The sequence below is a fragment of the Homo sapiens genome, chromosome 7 (assembly GCF_000001405.40).
Source record: "Homo sapiens chromosome 7, GRCh38.p14 Primary Assembly".
In the NCBI taxonomy this organism is placed as follows: Eukaryota; Metazoa; Chordata; class Mammalia; order Primates; family Hominidae; genus Homo; species Homo sapiens.
Genome location: NC_000007.14, coordinates 111956576 through 111979419, shown reverse-complemented (window position 1 = coordinate 111979419; position 22844 = coordinate 111956576). Strand labels below are relative to the sequence as shown.

The window sequence follows — 22844 nt, the reverse complement described above, 5'->3', positions numbered from 1 at the left end:
CTACAGTTAGAATATTTTTCTTCAGGAACCTGTGTTTAGTAATTATAGCCCACACATGCCTCAATGCTTAGGTCTGCTTTTAAAAACAACTTACTTACTCTCCACTTTTACGAAGAGATTCCCAGTGTACCTGTTGAGTATACAGTGATTGTAGATGAATTTAGCTAAATTTTTTCCACCCTTTGCTTCTCAAGTAGTTCGGAATAAAAGTTTTAACTTCTAAGCACGAAAAAATTCTAGTGATTCTATGTTGTGTTAACACTTGTAAATTTACATGACATTTTGGCTTCATTTGGTCATTCGGCAGTTTTTCAACTCAAAGGCGTAAAAAGATGGCTAATGTAGACGTAGGGTCATTTACCTTATCCCTCAACACAGGCTATGGCTCTGTTACAATGAAATTGAAATCCCTGAACTATTTTTTTAATTGTCAAAGTGATCCAAAAGAGGTAGTTTTGTTATTAGTCTGTGCTATGAAAGTGATAATCTTCCACATTTTTAGCACCCGTTCTATTAATACACAAGCCTAGCCATGTGTTTTTCCTGTACTCTTATCCTGAATCAGTGTTACTTGAAGTGTGGTCCAAGAAATGGCTGGACCGTGAACTGTTGGTCCAACTATACAAATGACAAGTAAATGATTAGAAACCTTTAGGGCATTTTGACATTGCCATGGCATTTTTATTGTATTTCATGAAAGAATCAGTCTGCAGGGAATTATGGGGAGAAACAACCTGGTCCCTCACTGCAAGCAGTGTGAGCCCTAACCTAGATAGGTAAGTCCTGCACCCTCCTTACCTCTCAGCTAAAGTGCCATTTTCCCAGGATGCCTGCCCAGTCTCATGTCAAATCCCCACTTTTATACTCTCATCATAATCTGGATCTTTAGGCTGGGCTCAGTAGCCCACACCTGTAATCCCAGCACTTGGGCAGACTGAGGCAGGAGGATCACTTGAGTCCAGGAGTTCAAGACCAGCCTGGGCGACATGGTGAAACCTTGTCTCTACAAAAAGTATGAAAATTAGCTGGGTGTGGTAACACGTGCCTGTAGTCCCAAGTACTCTGGAGGCCAAGGCAGGAGGATCGCTTGAGCCTGGGAGGTAGAGGCTGCAGTGAGCTGAGATCGTGCCACTGCAGTCCAGCCTAGGCAGTAGAGCAAGATACTGCCTCAAAAATAATAATAACAGTAATCTGGGTCTTTGCTTCCATTCATCACAGTTGCAGTTTTACATGTGTATGTGTGACAATTTTGTTCATGTCTGCTTCCCCTAGTAGATAGATGCTCTGTGAAGGTGTGAACTGTTTCTGATTTTACTCATCATTGTGTTCCCAGGGCTTGGTACATAGGAGATACTTGAATGTATGTTGGATGAATGATCATCCCCATGTTATCCTCCTTCCTGGACTCGTGAATGATTCTTTTTCTCCCTCAACCTGTGGGAACTCACATCTTGTCTTGTTGCCCAAGTTGAGCCTGGACTGGCTGTATTGAGGAAGGGATTGAAGGTGGACATAGATGCTATTCTTAGCTTTAGACACCTTGCTGGCTTTCCTAGGTTTCTCCCTATAGCGCCACAGCAAGTTAGAAACTATTATTTGCCACAGCCTGTCTCAGACAACTACCACAACTTTACAATTTAGTATAACCTAAAAGAACTTTTAATTATGAGTAATGAGAAGTTATAACTTAGATATAATTTAGTCTGCTTTTTAAAAAGATGACTAATAATTTGTTCTCATCTTGGGAGTTGATAAGGGAGCAAAAGAATCCTTTGAACTTCCTGCTTCCTGAATCTACTCAGTGAGTTGTTATTTTAACATTAATGATTTTAAAAATTCTTCAAGCAAGGTTCCTTGATAATCTATAAACTTCACAGTTTCTTATTTTAGAAGTTGGAAGAAAATTTGGAACTTAACATCCAAAGTTAAATTGGATATCTTCCAGACTATTTCTATGTCCACAGTCTGAAAGACATAGAATGTATATTTTGCTGTGGATTTAGATACCAAATCCACAGCAAAATAAAAAGTTATGGCGTAGGACATCACAGTCACCTCATAGCTAACTAGTTTGTTGGGTCCTGTTATTTCCTTCAGTCCATGCTGATCATGTTTTTGTTGGGGGGTGTCATTCAGATGGAACATCGACATCGGAAGAAAGACACCCCGGTGCAGGCCAGCAGTCACCACCTCTTTGTCCAGATGAAGAGCCTCATGTGTTCCAACCTGGGAGAGGAGCTGGAGGTCATCTTCTCACTCTTTGACAGTAAAGAGAACCGGCCAATCAGGTACCTGCACGTGGAGATAGGGTTTCAATGTCTTAATGTTAGAATGGTGGATATTTGTGATTGGCAAGCTGTAAGATATATATCTTGTATATTTTTTACTCCGTCAGCTTCAATTTTCTCACCAGTAGAACTCTGAGTTTCTAAGCTGCCTGTTCTTTGGATGTTTCTGTGAGGGATGATGAATGCAGCATTCTTTGAAAAATTCATAAGGGCTATAGAATCAGAATAATTGATATTAAATGGAAGTATGGCATGGATATCAAATCTGTTATTTGTTTTAATTATTTTGTATTGGTAACATAAAGAAGATACAGATTCTCTGGAGAAGTTTGCTTATCACAGTCAGCATGCTGTATCTTTCAGATTTTCAGTAAACCATTCTGTTATTCTTATCCTATCTGGATCATATGGTTTAAAGAGACAACTAAATACTTAGAAACCTTCCCATTAAAGTCTCAGAGCTTTGAGATGATAACTAATTTTCACATATTTCTTTTTCTTTCGCAGTTCTCTGAGTCTTACCTATTACAATTCTCTTTTGGTTCTCTTTTTCAGTATTTAGAAAAGATATATGGTGTATGTTTTGGTTTTTATTCGAAAGTCTCAACTCCTATTAAAACTTTTTTGTCTAAAATTTTTAATATTTGTTTTAAAGTTAAACACAAAACTTGCCGTCTTTCAAATTAAAAATTTCACAGATAAATTGAGAATTTGAATTGAATCACACAAATCACACACAATGACCCAACTGTACCATGCTTTAAAAAAATACTTTTCAATAAACACTAACAATTTTAGGCAATACCGAGTCTCATATATATATATATATATATATATATATATATATATATATATATATATAATAGACACACATACACATATATATACACATATATATACACACACACGCACACACACACACACATATGTGCGTGTGTGCGTGTGTGTGTGTGTATATATATATATATATTTTTTTTTTTTTTTTTTTTTTGAGATGGAGTCTTGCTCTGTCACCCAGGCTGGAGTGCAGTGGTGTGGTCTTGGCTCACTGTAACCTCCACCTCCTGGGTTCAAGTGATTCTCCTTCCTCAGCTTCCTGAGTAGCTTGCCCAGCTAATTTTTGTATTTTTAGTAGAGATGCGGTTTCACCATGTTGGCCAGGCTGGTCTCGAACTCCTGACCTCAGATGATCCGCCTGCCTTGGCCTCCCAAAATGCTGGGATTACAGGCGTGAGTCACTGCGCCTGGCCTATTATTTTATAAACAGAAAATAATCTTGGAGTAATTCTTTTCTGGTAAAATAGTTTTCTTTTTCTAGGGAATATGTGTGAAGTTTATTTTTAATGCAGTTACAGGCATAAAATCTTTGTTGAATTAACTTATATCTTAGTCGTTATCTACTAGTAAGTGTACTTTTTATTTCTTGACAGTGGACTATGTCCATAGAATTTAGAAGGTGGTGTTTTTGTGCACCAGGGACAAAATTTATGAGGTGTGGAAATAACAGTGGTAATACAGTTTTAGAATCTACTTTCTACACTGTTAGAGGAATTGAATCAGTGTGTTAAAAGAACTTTGCCTCTTTACAAATCAGCACTACTAAAAAGGGAAGTAAAAGGCGTGAAAAACTGATCCAAGTTAGACTTTAGAAATGTGAAAGATTATTTAGAGATAATATTTGTTTATATGTCGGAGTGTGTCTGGTTTACGGGTAGTTTAGATTACAAAATCTTTATAACATTGTCTGTATAATATGTGATCTCTTTAATATGCTTTATAAACTATATGGAATGTAAAAGGAAGAACTGAAGTTATTCTTTTGCTCATTTCTGTTAAACTAAAGTTTTTTTTGTTCGTTTTTGTTTGAGACAGAGTCTTGCTCTGTCACCCAGGCTGGAACTCAGTGGCACATTCTCGGCCCACTGCAACCTCCACCTTCTGGGTTCAAGTGATTCTTGTGCCTCAGCCTCCCAATTAGCTGGGATTACAGACACCCGCCACCACGCCCAGCTAATTTTTGTATTTTTAGTAGAGACGGGGTTTCGCCATGTTGGCCGGGCTGGTCTTGAACTCCTGGCCTCAAGTGATCCCCCCGCCTTGGCCTCCCAAAGTGCTGGGGATTATAGGCATGAGCCACTGTGCCTGGTCGCCTGTTAAGCTAAAGTTTTTGTGGAATACAAACTCCCCTTTGCCACTTCGCATTATCATAGGATTGTACTAATTTGGGATTAATATTAGGTTGTCTCTAAATATCATCTCATTATAAACATTTTCAAATTTTCTCAAACATTCTAAATAGGTATTGATCTTCAGAGTGCTCCTTATTTTATTCCTATATCCTTAGCAAAAGTAAGATAATAACCCGGGTACAGGGTCTGCCAAAATGTTGTGTTTGTGTTCCCCAAGTTCAAGCCAGGAGCTGTGTAGTTTTCCTGGTCTGTAATGTGGCTGGGCTGCCATGCCTGCCTACTTCCCCCTGGTCTCTCCCTCCACTTTTCCCTCTCACTTCTGCCTTCACCCTCCCCTTTTGTCACCCTCCTCCCCATCCCTTTTCCTTCCTCCTCCTCTCTCTGCAACCCCCATCATACACACACACACACACACACACACACACACACACACACACACACACACACACATCCCTCTTCAATATGCCACCTGATCTGTAATGATCCTCGGAGAAATCAAGTCAGTCCCTTCCCACTGCTTCTCCTCAATGCATTTGGTTATCTGTGGCTCTCACCTCTCAAACTCACAATCACCATAAAGGTGATTGGCAAAAAAATGAATAAGTATCACAATATATGCTTACTAGATGTTTGGAACAGCCTCAGATTTATCTTCTTGGTGTTTCTGAGGCCTTAGGCCACACAGTGATTGTTTTCTTTTAGGAAGTGTTCAAAACCTTGTAATGAGTCAGTTTGGTTCAAACTGCCGGGAACACAGGGCAGTTCACCGTCCCTGCATGAAGAGGCCTTAGGATGCACAGATCTGAAGACTGGGCTTGGCTCTTGTCTCTGCAGTTGATGGTGACTCTGCAGCCCTGACCCCTTTACTTCCTTCTATTTTTTTCTTTCATCTTGGAACTCCTAACAGTTCTTGCTGCCTTCATCCCACCTGGTGTAGGTAATGAGTATCAAATGTCCGCATCTTCTCAGAAAAAAGTACTGTGAATGTGAGGTGTGATTTTAAGGCATTGTTATATTTCTTCTTATTTGTGAGTGTTTTAAAATTTTGTATTTCTTTTAAACTTTTTATTTTAGAAAAATTTCCAACATATATAGAAGTAGACTATTGTAAGGAACCCTTATGTACCCTCCACCAGCTTCAACAACTATCAACAAAAGTTTGATCTTGTTTTAACCACATTCCTTTCCAATTTTTGTGTTTACCCCCAGATTATTTTGAAGCAAATTCCTGACCTCATAACATTTTCAAATGTAAAAAAAAAAAAAGGAACTCTAAAGGAATTATCATCTAAAAAATTAATATTCCTTTAACATCATCAAATATTCATTTGCCATTGGATTCAGATTCCCCCATTGACTCATAAACATTGTTTTACAAATTGTTCAAATTGAGATCCAAATAAAGTCCATATGTTGCAGATAAGTCTTATAAGTAAATTTCAGCTCTAGCTTCCCTCTTCCTCTTAAATTCCTGCAACTTATGTGTCATTTGGTTTATTTCTTCTTGAGAGTTCAAAGTCTAATTGCAAACGTTTAAAATCAGTGGACAAAAGATGGTATAGTTAAGTGAATGCTTGTGTTATTAAATAGGAGGGTTAGTGCTATAATTTACAAAAAGTAAAATGCCAGAGGAAAAGAAGTCAGTATACGAAAAAGATACTTGCACACTCATGTTTTTAACAGCACAATTTGCAATTGCAATAATATGGATCCAGCCCAAATGCCCATCAATCAATGAGTGGATAAAGAAAATATTATATATATATATATATATATATATATATATGCCATGGAATACTAGTCAGCCATATAAAGGAATGAAATAATGGCTTTTGCAGCAACCTGGATGAAATTAGAGACCATTATTCTAAGTGAAGAAACTCAGGAATGGAAAACCAAACATTGTATGTTCTCACTCATAAGTTGGAGCTAAGCTATAAGGATGTAAAGGCATAGGAATGATACGATAGACTTTATGAACTCCAGGGAAAGGGTGGGAGGGTGATTAGAGATAAAAGACTACACATTGGGTACAGTGTACACTGCTCAGGTGATGGGTGCACCAAAATCTCAGAAATCACTACTAAAGAACTTCTTCATGTAAAAAATTAAAAAAAAAATTAAAGATAGAAGGACAGAGAACTAGAGATGTGATAAAACATATGATAAGTGTTAATGATAGAATCTAGGTAGTATGTATATATATGTTCACTGGAAATTTTGTTTATATTTAAAAACTTCCATAATAAATGCTAAAAAACGTAAAAAAGGGTAGAATGTAGTCTACATAATCTTTATGGCTTCAGTCTGGCCATTGATCACAGAACGTTACCTTGTCCAGGTACAGGTGGAGGGACCAACATGTGCAAAACCTGTAGAGGACGGATTAGGAAACAGGGTGTTTATTCCTCACATAAGACAGATAAGTGGTTAGTACTTTAAAAAAAAAATTCCTCCTTTAAGAAGCAAACAGCCAGTATTTATTGAGCACTAACCATCTGCCATACTCTGTTCTAAGTGCTTTAAATATATTATTAGCACCAATTTTACAGATGAGGAAGCCAAGACACCGAGAGGCTAGAGAAGGTGACCAAGCTTCTCTAAGTGGCAAAAGGCAGAGTAGAGCTGCAGACCCCGTGCTCTGGCCCAAGGCCTGCCCTCTGAACCACACCACCAGCAGTCGCATCAGAATCACTGCCTAAGCACTTCAGTATTTGTCTGAAAGTTTCCATAGTTAAACAGGATTTTATTGGCCAGAATTGGAGCTTTAGAGACTGAAAGTCTTAATAATAAATTGTTATGAATTCTTGATAATGGTAATACTGAAACTGATATAGGGCCTCAGAAATTGTCTATGCTATAGAAGTTGGGTTTTAAATTGAGTCCTTCTCAAAATACTTCAAGAATAGCAAAGTGGCTCCTCCAGCTACCCGTGAAATGGAAAGGAAAGAAGGCCAAGAGGAAGAAGGTGGCCCTCACCCCTGCTGTCTTGAAAAAGCAGGAGGCCAAGAAAGTGATAAATCCCGTTTGAGAAAAGGCCTAAGAATGTTGGCATTAGACAGTACATCCAGCCCAAAAGGGACCTCCCTGGCTTTGTGAAATGGCCCCGCTATATCAGGTTGCTGTGGCAAAGAGCCATCCCCCGTAAGTGGCTGAAAGTGCCTCCTGCGATTGACCCGTTCATTCAGGCCTTGGACCACCAAACAGCTACTCAGCTGCATAAGCTGGCCCACAAGTACAGACCAGAGACAAAGCAAGAGAAGAGGCTGTTGGCCCAGGCTGAGAAGAAAGCTGTGGCAAAGGGGATGTGTCCACTAAGAGACTACCTGTTCTTTGAGCAGGATTAACACTATCACCACCTTGGTGGAGAATAAGAAGGCTCAACTGATGGTAACTGCACATGACATGGATCCCATTGAACTAATCGTCTTCCTGCCTGCCCTGCGTCATAAAATGAGGATCCCTCACTGCATTATCAAGGGGAAGGCAAGACTAGAATGTCTAGTCCACAGGAAGACCTGCACCACTGTCGCTTTCACACAGGTTAGCTTGGAAGACAAAAGAGCTTTGGTTAAGCCAGTGGAAGCTATCAGGACCAATTACAACAATAGATACGATGACATCTAACATCACTGAGGAGGCAATTTCCTGAGTCTAAAATCTTTGGCTCACATTCCCAAGCTGGAAAAGGCAAAGGCTAAAGAACCCACCACTAGACTGGGTTAAATGTGCCCTGTTAGTTTTTTTGTACATAAAAATAATCTCCTCAAAAAACAAAATAGCAAAGTGGCATCAATTCTTACTTTATGCTAGTGATCAAAATCTTAGATTAAGTACTTAGATGTGTCCAATACAGAAGGAGCCAGCATGTAAAAGTACTCCCTTTCTCGTTCACTCAGTAGAATTATGAAGCATGTAGTATCTCCTTAGTACCAGGAAGAGTACATTTCCTGATAAGAACTTGTCATTGAAGCTGGACCATATTTAGAAAGCCCATTACTTTTGTTTCTAAACAATTACTGAATATCCCTGAAGGTGGCCCAGTATGTTAAGCCTGCAAAGTGTGTTTTGGGCACCTCTCACAGTGACTAAAGATTGAGGCCCATTCCCACGGCATCCTGCTTAAACACACCTACTCCAGGCCTCTTTTCCAGTTTACCTTCCTCACTTGTTTATGTCACATCACCAGCCCAGCGTCTCCTGAAGGCACAGCCACATTGGAGAGGCAAAAATCACATACTTTTATTTGAGGTGTATACAGTCTTGACACAATTTCTCTCTATAAAAGATAATTATTAGTTTTATAAAACGAGTTTTCCAGGTTTTTACATGAGCCAATTGTTCTTAGAGCATATTTATCTGGTTGAAAGTTTATGGCTTCTCCAGCCCTCAAGGGTATTACTGGGAAAGGGAGGGAATCATTTCTCTGCAAATCATCTGTAATTTTATTACATTCATTTAACACTTATGTAATGCTTATTATATTCCAGGCACCATTCTAAGCTCTTTAAGAAATATTAATTTAATCAGCCCTTGTAACACTCTATACAGTGGATACTACTAATATCCACATTTTTATAGATGGGGAAACTGAGGCACGGAGAGTTTTTTTTTCTTTTTTTTTAATAACTTGCCCAAGGTCATACAGCTCACATGTGGTGGAGCTGGTATTCTAACATGGCAGTTTATGTAGGAATCTGTATTCTAAATCACTGCTCTACACTCATACTCATCATGTACAGTATCTATAAGATTCTATATTCTTCATCAACCTATTTTTACTCACCAGTGTGTCATAAGGGGTCTGTCGAGGGTTTGTAGTTTTAGGAAACTAGAGTGGGAGGGACTTGACCTCCTTAAGAATTGACAGGAAAGATCCAGTAATGAGGGAGAGGGGAAATCACTGATCGTCCAAGGTCCCTTAGGAGGCATCAGGAAACAGATTTGAGTTTGCTGGTGAGGAGATTAGCCATGGGCCAGAGAAAGGAAGAGACAGAAGAATGTGGACATGCATAAACTGAGGTGTAGGATTGGGCATATGAGTTTTTGTTACATACAAGCAAACTACTTAGCATTATTTGCTACTGTGTCTCCTTTAGCTTGCATTTAAAATTGGCTTCTGTACTACATGGTGATAGAGTCATGGTATTTGTTTATGCTTTCCATAGGTTGTGCAGCTACGGATGTGTATATTAATTCTTACCTCTCCTGTTTTGGCATATGTCAATTAATCTACAATAGACAGTAAATTTTTTTTTTTTTTTCTGGTTCAACTAATGGTTTTTATTTCACATTTGGCATCTTTTTCTTCTACAAACTAATAGACTCTCCAGAACCTATTCACCTGAGATTTCTTTTTCTACCATGCCTGTCCTTTGCAGGATTGTTTGAATTTTCAAGAGAATTTGAAACACTTAGTCTCTAGACAGTTTCTTTCAATGTAGCCCTTTGCTCTTCAGACATATGTGACAGGAGTCAAATCACTGTTTTTTTGTTTTTTTGTTTTTTTAATAGAAAAAATGAGTTTATTTTTTAGTAAATTTTGTAGATGCAAAGGAGATATCTGGTGGCAACTGGAATCACAGAATGAGCATTCAGAAGCCACAACAGAAAATGTAGATTTAGAAATCTTTCATACAGAATTGGAAGCTGGAGCCATAAGAATAGAAAACATTCTTTTTTTTTTTCAGTCATTATTTGTTTGTACAGCTGTGTGAATTTTTTTTTTTTTTATTATACTCTAAGTTTTAGGGTACATGTGCACATTGTGCAGGTTAGTTACATATGTATACATGTGCCATGCTGGTGCGCTGCACCCACTAATGTGTCATCTAGCATTAGGTATATCTCCCAATGCTATCCCTCCCCCCTCCCCCGACCCCACCACAGTCCCCAGAGTGTGATATTCCCCTTCCTGTGTCCATGTGATCTCATTGTTCAATTCCCACCTATGAGTGAGAATATGCGGTGTTTGGTTTTTTGTTCTTGCGATAGTTTACTGAGAATGATGGTTTCCAATTTCATCCATGTCCCTACAAAGGATATGAACTCATCATTTTTTATGGCTGCATAGTATTCCATGGTGTATATGTGCCACATTTTCTTAATCCAGTCTATCATTGTTGGACATTTGGGTTGGTTCCAAGTCTTTGCTATTGTGAATAGTGCCGCAATAAACATACGTGTGCATGTGTCTTTATAGCAGCATGATTTATAGTCCTTTGGGTATATACCCAGTAATGCGATGGCTGGGTCAAATGGCATTTCTAGTTCTAGATCCCTGAGGAATCGCCACACTGACTTCCACAATGGTTGAACTAGTTTACAGTCCCACCAACAGTGTAAAAGTGTTCCTATTTCTCCACATCCTCTCCAGCACCTGTTGTTTCCTGACTTTTTAATGATTGCCTTTCTAACTGGTGTGAGATGATATCTCATAGTGGTTTTGATTTGCATTTCTCTGATGGCCAGTGATGATGAGCATTTCTTCATGTGTTTTTTGGCTGCATAAATGTCTTCTTTTGAGAAGTGTCTGTTCATGTCCTTCGCCCACTTTTTGATGGGGTTGTTTGTTTTTTTGTTGTAAATTTGTTTGAGTTCATTGTAGATTCTGGATATTAGCCCTTTGTCAGATGAGTAGGTTACGAAAATTTTCTCCCATGTTGTAGGTTGCCTGTTCACTCTGATGGTAGTTTCTTTTGCTGTGCAGAAGCTCTTTAGTTTAATTAGATCCCATTTGTCAATTTTGGCTTTTGTTGCCATTGCTTTTGGTGTTTTGGACATGAAGTCCTTGCCCACGCCTATGTCCTGAATGGTAATGCCTAGGTTTTCTTCTAGGGTTTTTATGGTTTTAGGTCTAACGTTTAAATCTTTAATCCATCTTGAATTGATTTTTGTATAAGGTGTAAGGAAGGGATCCAGTTTCAGCTTTCTACATATGGCTAGCCAGTTTTCCCAGCACCATTTATTAAATAGGGAATCCTTTCCCCATTGCTTGTTTTTCTCAGGTTTGTCAAAGATCAGATAGTTGTAGATATGCGGCATTATTTCTGAGGGCTCTGTTCTGTTCCATTGATCTATATCTCTGTTTTGGTACCAGTACCATGCTGTTTTGGTTACTGTAGCCTTGTAGTATAGTTTGAAGTCAGGTAGTGTGATGCCTCCAGCTTTGTTCTTTTGGCTTAGGATTGACTTGGCAATGCGGGCTCTTTTTTGGTTCCATATGAACTTTAAAGTAGTTTTTTCCAATTCTGTGAAGAAAGTCATTGGTAGCTTGATGGGGATGGCATTGAATCTGTAAATTACCTTGGGCAGTATGGCCATTTTCACGATATTGATTCTTCCTACCCATGAGCATGGAATGTTCTTCCATTTGTTTGTGTCCTCTTTTATTTCCTTGAGCAGTGGTTTGTAGTTCTCCTTGAAGAGGTCCTTCACATCCCTTGTAAGTTGGATTCCTAGGTATTTTATTCTCTTTGAAGCAATTGTGAATGGGAGTTCACCCATGATTTGGCTCTCTGTTTGTCTGTTGTTGGTGTATAAGAATGCTTGTGATTTTTGTACATTGATTTTGTATCCTGAGACTTTGCTGAAGTTGCTTATCAGTTTAAGGAGATTTTGGGCTGAGACGATGGGGTTTTCTAGATAAACAATCATGTCGTCTGCAAACAGGGACAATTTGACTTCCTCTTTTCCTAATTGAATACCCTTTATTTCCTTCTCCTGCCTGATTGCCCTGGCCAGAACTTCCAACACTATGTTGAATAGGAGTGGTGAGAGAGGGCATCCCTGTCTTGTGCCAGTTTTCAAAGGGAATGCTTCCAGTTTTTGCCCATTCAGTATGATATTGGCTGTGGGTTTGTCATAGATAGCTCTTATTATTTTGAAATACGTCCCATCAATACCTAATTTATTGAGAGTTTTTAGCATGAAGGGTTGTTGAAATTTGTCAAAGGTTTTTTCTGCATCTATTGAGATAATCATGTGGTTTTTGTCTTTGGCTCTGTTTATATGCTGGATTACATTTATTGATTTGCGTATATTGAACCAGCCTTGCATCCCAGGGATGAAGCCCACTTGATCATGGTGGATAAGCTTTTTGATGTGCTGCTGGATTCGGTTTGCCAGTATTTTATTGAGGATTTTTGCATCAATGTTCATCAAGGATATTGGTCTAAAATTCTCTTTTTTGGTTGTGTCTCTGCCCGGCTTTGGTATCAGAATGATGCTGGCCTCATAAAATGAGTTAGGGAGGATTCCCTCTTTTTCTATTGATTGGAATAGTTTCAGAAGGAATGGTACCAGTTCCTCCTTGTACCTCTGGTAGAATTCGGCTGTGAATCCATCTGGTCCTGGACTCTTTTTGGTTGGTAAACTATTGATTATTGCCACAATTTCAGAGCCTGTTATTGGTCTATTCAGAGATTCAACTTCTTCCTGGTTTAGTCTTGGGAGAGTGTATGTGTCGAGGAATGTATCCATTTCTTCTAGATTTTCTAGTTTATTTGCGTAGAGGTGTTTGTAGTATTCTCTGATGGTAGTTTGTATTTCTGTGGGATCGGTGGTGATATCCCCTTTATCATTTTTTATTGTGTCTATTTGATTCTTCTCTCTTTTTTTCTTTATTAGTCTTGCTAGCGGTCTATCAATTTTGTTGATCCTTTCAAAAAACCAGCTCCTGGATTCATTGATTTTTTGAAGGGTTTTTTGTGTCTCTATTTCCTTGAGTTCTGCTCTGATTTTAGTTATTTCTTGCCTTCTGCTAGCTTTTGAATGTGTTTGCTCTTGCTTTTCTAGTTCTTTTAATTGTGATGTTAGGGTGTCAATTTTGGATCTTTCCTGCTTTCTCTTGTGGTCATTTAGTGCTATAAATTTCCCTCTACACACTGCTTTGAATGCGTCCCAGAGATTCTGGTATGTGGTGTCTTTGTTCTCGTTGGTTTCAAAGAACATCTTTATTTCTGCCTTCATTTCGTTATGTACCCAGTAGTCATTCAGGAGCAGGTTGTTCAGTTTCCATGTAGTTGAGCGGCTTTGAGTGAGATTCTTAATCCTGAGTTCTAGTTTGATTGCACTGTGGTCTGAGAGATAGTTTGTTATAATTTCTGTTCTTTTACATTTGCTGAGGAGAGCTTTACTTCCAACTATGTGGTCAATTTTGGAATAGGTGTGGTGTGGTGCTGAAAAAAATGTATATTCTGTTGATTTGGGGTGGAGAGTTCTGTAGATGTCTATTAGGTCTGCTTGGTGCAGAGCTGAGTTCAATTCCTGGGTATCCTTGTTGACTTTCTGTCTTGTTGATCTGTCTAATGTTGACAGTGGGGTGTTAAAGTCTCCCATTATTAATGTGTGGGAGTCTAAGTCTCTTTGTAGGTCACTGAAGACTTGCTTTATGAATCTGGGTGCTCCTGTATTGGGTGCATAAATATTTAGGATAGTTAGCTCCTCTTGTTGAATTGATCCCTTTACCATTATGTAATGGCCTTCTTTGTCTCTTTTGATCTTTGTTGGTTTAAAGTCTGTTTTATCCGAGACTAGGATTGCAACCCCTGCCTTTTTTTGTTTTCCATTGGCTTGGTAGATCTTCCTCCATCCTTTTATTTTGAGCCTATGTGTGTCTCTGCACGTGAGATGGGTTTCCTGAATACAGCACACTGATGGGTCTTGACTCTTTATCCAACTTGCCAGTCTGTGTCTTTTAATTGCAGAATTTAGTCCATTTATATTTAAAGTTAATATTGTTATGTGTGAATTTGATCCTGTCATTATGATGTTAGCTGGTGATTTTGCTCATTAGTTGATGCAGTTTCTTCCTAGTCTTGATGGTCTTTACAGTTTGGCATGATTTTGCAGCGGCTGGTACCGGTTGTTCCTTTCCATGTTTAGCGCTTCCTTCAGGAGCTCTTTTAGGGCAGGCCTGGTGGTGACAAAATCTCTCAGCATTTGCTTGTCTATAAAGTATTTTATTTCTCCTTCACTTATGAAGCTTAGTTTGGCTGGATATGAAATTCTGGGTTGAAAATTCTTTTCTTTAAGAACGTTGAATATTGGCCCCCACTCTCTTCTGGCTTGTAGGGTTTCTGCCGAGAGATCCGCTGTTAGTCTGATGGGCTTTCCTTTGAGGGTAACCCGACCTTTCTCTCTGGCTGCCCTTAACATTTTTTCCTTCATTTCAACTTTGGTGAATCTGACAATTATGTGTCTTGGAGTTGCTCTTCTCGAGGAGTATCTTTGTGGCGTTCTCTGTATTTCCTGAATCTGAACGTTGGCCTGCCTTGCTAGATTGGGGAAGTTCTCCTTGATAATATCCTGCAGAGTGTTTTCCAACTTGGTTCCATTCTCCCCATCACTTTCAGGTACACCAATCAGATGTAGATTTGGTCTTTTCACATAGTCCCATATTTCTTGGAGGCTTTGCTCATTTCTTTTTATTCTTTTTTCTCTAAACTTCCCTTCTCACTTCATTTCATTCATTTCATCTTCCATTGCTGATACCCTTTCTTCCAGTTGATCGCATCGGCTCCTGAGGCTTCTGCATTCTTCACGTAGTTCTCGAGCCTTGGTTTTCAGCTCCATCAGCTCCTTTAAGCACTTCTCTGTATTGGTTATTCTAGTTATACATTCTTCTAAATTTTTTTCAAAGTTTTCAACTTCTTTGCCTTTGGTTTGAATGTCCTCCCGTAGCTCAGAGTAATTTGATCGTCTGAAGCCTTCTCTCAGCTCGTCAAAATCATTCTCCATCCAGCTTTGTTCTGTTGCTGGTGAGGAACTGCTTTCCTTTGGAGGAGGAGAGGCGCTCTGCGTTTTAGAGTTTCCAGTTTTTCTGTTCTGTTTTTTTCCCCATCTTTGTGGTTTTATCTACTTTTGGTCTTTGATGATGGTGATGTACAGATGGGTTTTCGGTGTAGATGTCCTTTCTGGTTGTTAGTTTTCCTTCTAACAGACAGGACCCTCAGCTGCAGGTCTGTTGGAATACCCTGCCGTGTGAGGTGTCAGTGTGCCCCTGCTGGGGGGTGCCTCCCAGTTAGGCTGCTCGGGGGTCAGGGGTCAGGGACCCACTTGAGGAGGCAGTCTGCCGGTTCTCAGATCTCCAGCTGCGTGCTGGGAGAACCACTGCTCTCTTCAAAGCTGTCAGACAGGGACACTTAAGTCTGCAGAGGTTACTGCTGTCTTTTTGTTTGTCTGTGCCCTGCCCCCAGAGGTGGAGCCTACAGAGGCAGGCAGGCCTCCTTGAGCTGTGGTGGGCTCCACCCAGTTCGAGCTTCCCGGCTGCTTTGTTTACCTAAGCAAGCCTGGGCAATGGCGGGTGCCCCTCCCCCAGCCTCGTTGCCGCCTTGCAGTTTGATCTCAGACTGCTGTGCTAGCAATCAGCGAGATTCCGTGGGCGTAGGACCCTCTGAGCCAGGTGTGGGATATAGTCTCGTGGTGCGCCGTTTCTTAAGCCGGTCTGAAAAGCGCAATATTCGGGTGGGAGTGACCCGATTTTCCAGGTGCGTCAGTCACCCCTTTCTTTGACTCAGAAAGGGAACTCCCTGACCCCTTGCGCTTCCCAGGTGAGGCAATGCCTCGCCCTGCTTAGGCTCGCGCACGGTGCGCACACACACTGGCCTGCGCCCACTGTCTGGCACTCCCTAGTGAGATGAACCCGGTACCTCAGATGGAAATGCAGAAATCACCTGTCTTCTGCGTCGCTCACGCTGGGAGCTGTAGTCCGGAGCTGTTCCTATTCGGCCATCTTGGCTCCTCCTCCTAGACAGTAAATTTTTATGGACCAGTGAAAACAAAGCTGTTTACTGGTTGACTACCTCCCTTATAACTTTTCATTACTTTGTTTACTGATGTACTCTAGGGCTTCATCGGTTAAAGTTGTAAATTTGTCTTGGGACTAATCTATTAACGTATTGCATTCTCATCAGAGAATATATTTCATATGACCTGAGTACCACCAGTTGGTACTCAGCTGGCATAGGGCTGCTCATGCATGTGAGCTGCTGGCGTGGGCCTTTATTTGAGAAAATAGCACCAGGGTAGTACTTCTGGAAAAAGTGTTATCCCGATGATTAAATACAAAAAGTCTTAATTAAGTACAGATGAGGTTTCCTGTCTGCTTGTAACTTATTCACATACTTTTCTAGGTATTTTTCCTAACATCACTTCATTAAACTCCATTTTTCTTGAAATACTTCATTTCCATATAAATTTTGTATTGCCTACAATTACCTTCTATTTGATATATCATTCCATTCTATCATTTAAGAAAAAGAAAGTAATGAATGCAATTGGTGAGGTAAAGATTTTTTTAAATATGGAAATATGGATTCATACTGAATTCCGAAATACATCTGGATATCTCTTCACCCCCAAGACACATACCTTTGTGTGTCTTGTGTACCGCACGGTAATCGAAGTGGCCAGATTCTGGAGTCAGCTGGCAAGAGTTCAAGTCCTGGCTTTGTCATTTAGTAGCTACATCAGTTTTGGGAAGTTAATTCATGTCTCTCAAGGCTGTTAACTTGTCTGATAAGTAGAGATAATAATAGTACTTTCCCCATGGGGTTATTGGAGGATTAAATTTAGTGTAATACTTTCTACCTGATAATTGGTCAGTAAATCTTAGTTATTAGAATGATTATTTTTAAAAACCAGTACAGGAAATACACCTAACCTAACCAGAAATAATATGTGTTGATTGCTCTTGAAGCCTTAAAGAAATATGTTCCAAGCAACTGTTTATTTTTTTAGGTATATGGTATTATAGTTATGTAATATTTAGAGAGACCTACTAGTAAAAGGTAAAATGGAATCAGAGGTGTGATTTGCTTTAAAATACTTCCGCAATGGAAGAACAAAGAGAAAGAAAAAGCAAAAAGGAGAAAATATGACAAAATATGTGAAGAAAATATGACAAAATTTCTTGGTTATGAATTCCCTGTGATAGGTATATGAGCTCTTGGTTGAACTTCTAGCATATAGTATATATAGTTAATGAATTACCTGCTTAAAATTTATTAATGTTTTCATACTGTATGTAGGCCATAAAGCAATGAGAAAAGACATTTTTTTCCAATGTCTTTAAAGAACATTGGATTGGTTTAGTCACTAGCCCCATAGATGATGGTCTGAATTCCATTCTGCCTAGAATAAAAATACTCGTTACATGAACTGACAGTTACGTTTTTCATAATGTACTTGACAAAACTTAAGAGGAATGTTTTCTTAATGGTCTAGGACATTGAGTGTTATATCACACATACGTTATAATAATATTCCCCTTGAAGCACGAGCCTTGATTCAGACTTAAAATAGGCAGCTTTTAGAAGATTAATAAAGATTCTGTGAGAGAAAATACCTTGTATGCTTAAATCCTTAAAGGATTTTTGCCTTACAGGCAAAATCAGTGCCACCTTCCTGGAAATTCTAAATAAGTATAGGTTTATCCTCCCAAAGGTGAGGGAATTCCAGTTGTAAGAATGCACATCACCTCTACCCATTCACTAGTTCATTCACTCACTATGAAAGCATGGTAAGAGTAAGTGAAGTGTTGTGTGCCAGCTGTCCGAGACCCTTTGAGTGTTTGTAGAGGTTTAAAGTTGAATCCTGAAGCAACGGCAGAAGGGATCCAGACACAAGTGAAGGAATCTACTTTGAAAAAGAGGAAGGACACTTCTTTTATTAATGCGGAAGATGAAGGAAGTGAAATGGGTGTAAAATGCTGAGATGGAATCAAGAGACTTTGGGTTTGTGGCCTTGATCTTTTTTAAGTAAAGGGGGAAACAAGATCAGCTGCCATTGGAGAGCAAAAGAGAGGACAGAGGGAGCTGAGGACTGAAAGTGAGTTGTAGGAGGAAGGCAAGCAGACGTGGAGCAAACGTGTGATAGGGATCCAGCAATCCAACCCCCGTGCATGCATCTAAAGAAATGAAACCAGTGTGTGCAAGAGATATCTGCACTTCCATGTTGACTGCAGCACTATTGACAATAGCTAAGATATGGAGTCAACATAAGTGTCCATCAACAGATGAATGGATAAAGAAAATGTGGTATATATACACTTTGGAATACTATTCAGCCTTAAAAAGAAGGAAACTCTGTCATTTTGGACAACATGGATGTACCTGGAGGACATTATGTTAAGTGAAATAAGCCAGGCACAGAGAGACAAAGAGTGCATGATCTCACTGCATGTGGAGTGTAAAAAAGTTGAACTCATAGTGGAGAGAAGAAGGGGGATTACTAGGGATTAGGGGAGGGAATTTTGGAAAAGAAGGATACAAAATTTCAGTTAGGAGGAATAAGTCCAAGACAGCTATTGTACAACATGGTGGTTATGGTTAATAGCAATGTATTATATACTTGCACATTGCTAAGAGAGTAGATTTTAAGTGTTTTCATCACCAAAAAAAAAAAAAAAAAAAAAAAAGCACATGAGGTAAAGCACGTGTTTTACCTCATGGTAGGTTAGCTTGATTTATCCATTCCACAATGTATACGTATTTCAAAACAACATGTTTTATTTAGAATTGATAAATATATACAATTTTTATTTATAAATTCTTTTTTCTTTTCTTTTTTTTTTTTTTAAGACAGAGCCTCGCTCTGTTGCCCAGGCTGGAGTGCAGTGGCGCGATCTCGGCTCACTGCAACCTCTGCCTCCCGGGTTCAAGCGATTCTCCTGCCTCAGCCTCCAAGTAGCTGGGACTACCGGCATATGCCACCACGCCCTGCTAATTTTTTGTATTTTTAGTAGAGACGGGGTTTCACTGTGTTAGCCAGGATTGTCTCCATCTCCTGACCTCGTGATCCTCCCACCTCAGCCTCCGAAAGTGCTAGGATAACAGGCGTGAGCCACTGCACCCAGGCCATTTATTTATCAATTCTAAATAAATAAATAAGTAAAATGTTAAAAATATATAAATAATTAAGTGTAAAAAAGAAAAGTGTAATAGGGAGTGAGTGAGGGCTCATAGAATTGCTGAGTGCAGTGATGGCCGCACCAATGGGAGACGTCTGAAATTGCTAGTGCATCCAGACTCCCAGGTTAGCTTTTGCTGGATGTGCTTAGCAAATAGGGATCAGAAGCAGGTGGTAAGTTTGGAGACTGAAACATCATAGGTGGAAAAGAATGAGAAAATTGAGAATTCTGTGTCACAAGGAAAATCTAAGAAGTTACCATCATAGCTTCCAATGGGTGAGGCTGATACAATCTAATAGCCTTTTCAATTTTAAAAGGAAATGAAAGAATTATGCTTCTTTTGAAAAGACTGAGTTGTTAGGAAAATTTTTCAAGAGCTTACAGAAAGAACTGTTAGGGAGAATTGTTATTTGGCCCAGACTAGTAAAAAATGCTAATATTTTTGTGTATGTATGCTAGTGCATAACATAGTTAAGAGAGCAGATATGGCTTTTTCACTCCCTGCACTGTGCTAGTATTTCTCGTCTCATACATCATTTAAAATGTATAGCATGATCGCAGAAGTTCAGCATCTATATTGTTATATAAATTAGGAGCATATATTGTTTTGAACATCAATCATGGGCATAGATCCCTTTTTGTAGCTTCATGTTATAAAATCAGCTCAAAAATGTGACGTCTCCAAAGCAGAGCAGTAATGTAGGGAAAATGTCTGACCGGCCAGACGTGCAGGGAGTACAACTTTGTTTGAGAACAAAAATAGATGGAGACGGCATTCAGACACCCTCCTTGGATTGTGGCAATATCATCTATTCCATATGGCCCAGAGCATTTCCTGCCATGTCTAGACATGCTGGCACAGATTTCTCTGTGGGTGTCTGCCTGCCTGTCAGTGACCCACAGCGACCTTCCCTCGGGCCTCCTGTTGAAAGGCACTCCTGCTTTCTGCCCTCCCTCTTCTCCATCATTTGATTGTTCCAGCAGGTGCATGAAATGTGGGAGTGTTGTCACTTCAGAGTTAATCAGATTTGCGGTTTACTCCCCCTTTGGTCACAATTCTGTGTCACATAAAAAAGAAAATCACAAATAATTGCTTTAGAGATGTTGTTATGTCAATAATGGGAGAGTTTTAAATATGAAATGAGCAAGGAGGAGGATCTAAATTAATACACAACAAGCAAAGAAATGCTTTATTCATACTGAGAGCACCCAGGGTAGAACTGATTCACTTTTTTCTCTGTAGCTTTTTAAGAGCCATACAATTCTAGTTGTTTTCGAAGTTGTAAATTACTGCATCATTATAATGTGTTATTATAATAATAGGTGGCCCGAAATTCCAAGTTGCAGAAAACCAAAAACTCATAGAGTCAGTGTGAACTCAGAACTGACTTTCTCTTTCCCTTTCACTCTAAGCTGTGATTATTCAAGCTACTTGTCTCTTTTTACTTAAATAGTGCAGGATTTTAGAAAGTGACCAGAAGGTCCTCTTACACCTATGCCTGTGTTTTAAAAGATAACCAGATTGATGTTCTTTTCACTAGGATTCGGGTCATCTCTGTCTTTTTTCCTTTGCCCTATGTCTGCTACCCATAAGGTATTCAGAATTATTTAGTTTTCCTAAGTTCCCTACAGGATAAGCTATGGTCACACTTAGCAACCCACCTCACAAGGACTTCTTTGGTATTCAACGCCATTTGTGTTGTAAGATGGTTCAACATTAACAAAGGAATTGTTAATGATGAGTTCTTCTTAGTTCCTTTTCCAAAGATAAGACTTTGCCCACTCATCATCTAGATGTTTTCAGCACCTTGTAGTGCGCCTGACACAGGGTTGGGATTGATGCAGTTAGAGGAAGCTTACAAGTCTTAGATTGTTGTTGAGGCAAAGCATTAAGAGATCATGCTATTATTATCTTAATTTTTGCTATCATCTTTCCACTGCAGTGGGGATGTGCTTATTAAGAAGAGAGAGTACTCAAAGTGTTGAGTGCATCAAAAATGTTTATAGAGTTGTTTCATGTTACACTGTGCTAATAAGAACTGTGCTCTCAGCCCTGTCTCTGGGGAAACATCATTTGCAAACACTGTCATGCTAAAAAAAGTACATAAAAATTGTCAGATAAATGTGTAGCATCTTTCCCTAAGTATTTCCATGTAGAGATTTTTGGACTACAAATTAAATAGAGACTGCATCTTCTTTTTATTTCAGTTGAGCTTTATGAAGTTCACACTGTTCTTGTGGAATTGCTGATGTTCATTCGTTCATTCATTTATTTATTCAGCAAACAATTCTTACTGTCCTTCTCAGGGCCATACACTCATTTGGACACTGGGAACACATCATTGAATAAAACAGGAACAAAAAATTCCTGCCTTCATGCCATTTATTAATATGTTGTAAGACGATTCGAGATTAACAAAGCAATTATCATTGATGCAGTCCTTGTTAGTTCCTTTTCCAAAGATAAAACTTTGCTAGTAGACACAGCTTGTAGTCTACTGATGTTCAAAATACTCAAGCAAGTATTTTTTCCAGGTTGTTTAGTTATATAGTATACCTCTAAGGATTTTACTTGAAATGAACTTTGGGATTTCTAAAGTCTTCTGAACTTGGAGTCATGGCTATCTTTCTTAAATCAACAGTCAGTCAGAATCATTTCCTTAATTCACCAGTTTCTTTATCATCCTTTTGTATGGTGCCCAATATGCAATTTTTATTTTACAAAAGTATTTCACATTTCTTAACAATAAATCAAAATCATTTCCTTATTTCACCAGTTTCTGTATCAGCCCTTTGTATGGTATCCAATATGCGATTTTTATTTCACATGTCTAAAGCAATGGTTCCTAACTTTTTCAGTACCAAAGATTTCTTTTTAGAAGTATATAAACTATAGACTTCAACAGAAAATAATATACCTGTTCTCATAAGCATTAACATTTTCCTATCAGTTAAGCTTTGTAGCTCCCAGGTTAAAAAAGCACCTGATCTTCAAAAAATACAGTTGAATGAGTCATCTAATTAATAAATAGTATTTAATGATGCTTTAGATCATTTTCATTTTTAAAAGTTATAATGAATATAAAGAATCTATCAGTAAGATGTTGTGTCCATCAGTAAAAGCTATTGGAATGGAAATTTGATTTTGGCTTGTAAAGCAAAATGTATCTGAAACAGATCTCAGTCAATTTAGTTTATTTTGCCAAGGTTAAGGGCATGCACCTAGGAGACAGGTCTGTGCCTTTCTCTGAAGATGAGAATATTGAGACTTCATATTTAAAGGGAAAAGGCAGGCTGGAGGGGAAAGAAGAAGGTGGTCACATTACTGAATCCACATGTTGCAAGAGAAAAGAAATAGATAGGGGAATAGTCAATTATGTATTCATCTCACGCTCAGTAAATGAACACTTTACAGACAATAAGGTGAACATAGAGTAACTACCTGTGGAGATATTT

At 38.9% G+C, this 22844-nt stretch overlaps 1 protein-coding gene and 1 pseudogene across 14 annotated transcripts in view, besides 2 other annotated features; both read left to right on the top strand.

Annotated features, from left to right (window-relative positions):
• The window catches only part of DOCK4 (dedicator of cytokinesis 4), a 480290-nt gene that overhangs the window by 226980 nt on the left and 230466 nt on the right, over positions 1 to 22844 (top strand). For all 14 annotated transcript variants that reach the window (XM_047421081.1, NM_014705.4, XM_006716189.3 and 11 more), the window contains exon 8: positions 2137 to 2288. In XM_047421081.1, coding sequence (XP_047277037.1) covers positions 2137 to 2288 — 152 coding nt within the window. The remainder of the gene's footprint in view (positions 1 to 2136; positions 2289 to 22844) is intronic.
• Positions 7395 to 8256, top strand: RPL7AP42 (ribosomal protein L7a pseudogene 42; annotated as a pseudogene).
• Positions 15024 to 15806: an enhancer, noted in NCBI's record as "NANOG-H3K27ac-H3K4me1 hESC enhancer chr7:111603669-111604451 (GRCh37/hg19 assembly coordinates)". NCBI's record gives its function as "activates a minimal SCP1, AML or CMV promoter by ChIP-STARR-seq in primed H9 embryonic stem cells {active_cell/tissue: H9 hESC(primed)}" and the evidence as "EXISTENCE:reporter gene assay evidence [ECO:0000049][PMID:30033119]".
• Positions 15807 to 16591: an enhancer, noted in NCBI's record as "NANOG-H3K27ac-H3K4me1 hESC enhancer chr7:111602884-111603668 (GRCh37/hg19 assembly coordinates)". NCBI's record gives its function as "activates a minimal SCP1, AML or CMV promoter by ChIP-STARR-seq in primed H9 embryonic stem cells {active_cell/tissue: H9 hESC(primed)}" and the evidence as "EXISTENCE:reporter gene assay evidence [ECO:0000049][PMID:30033119]".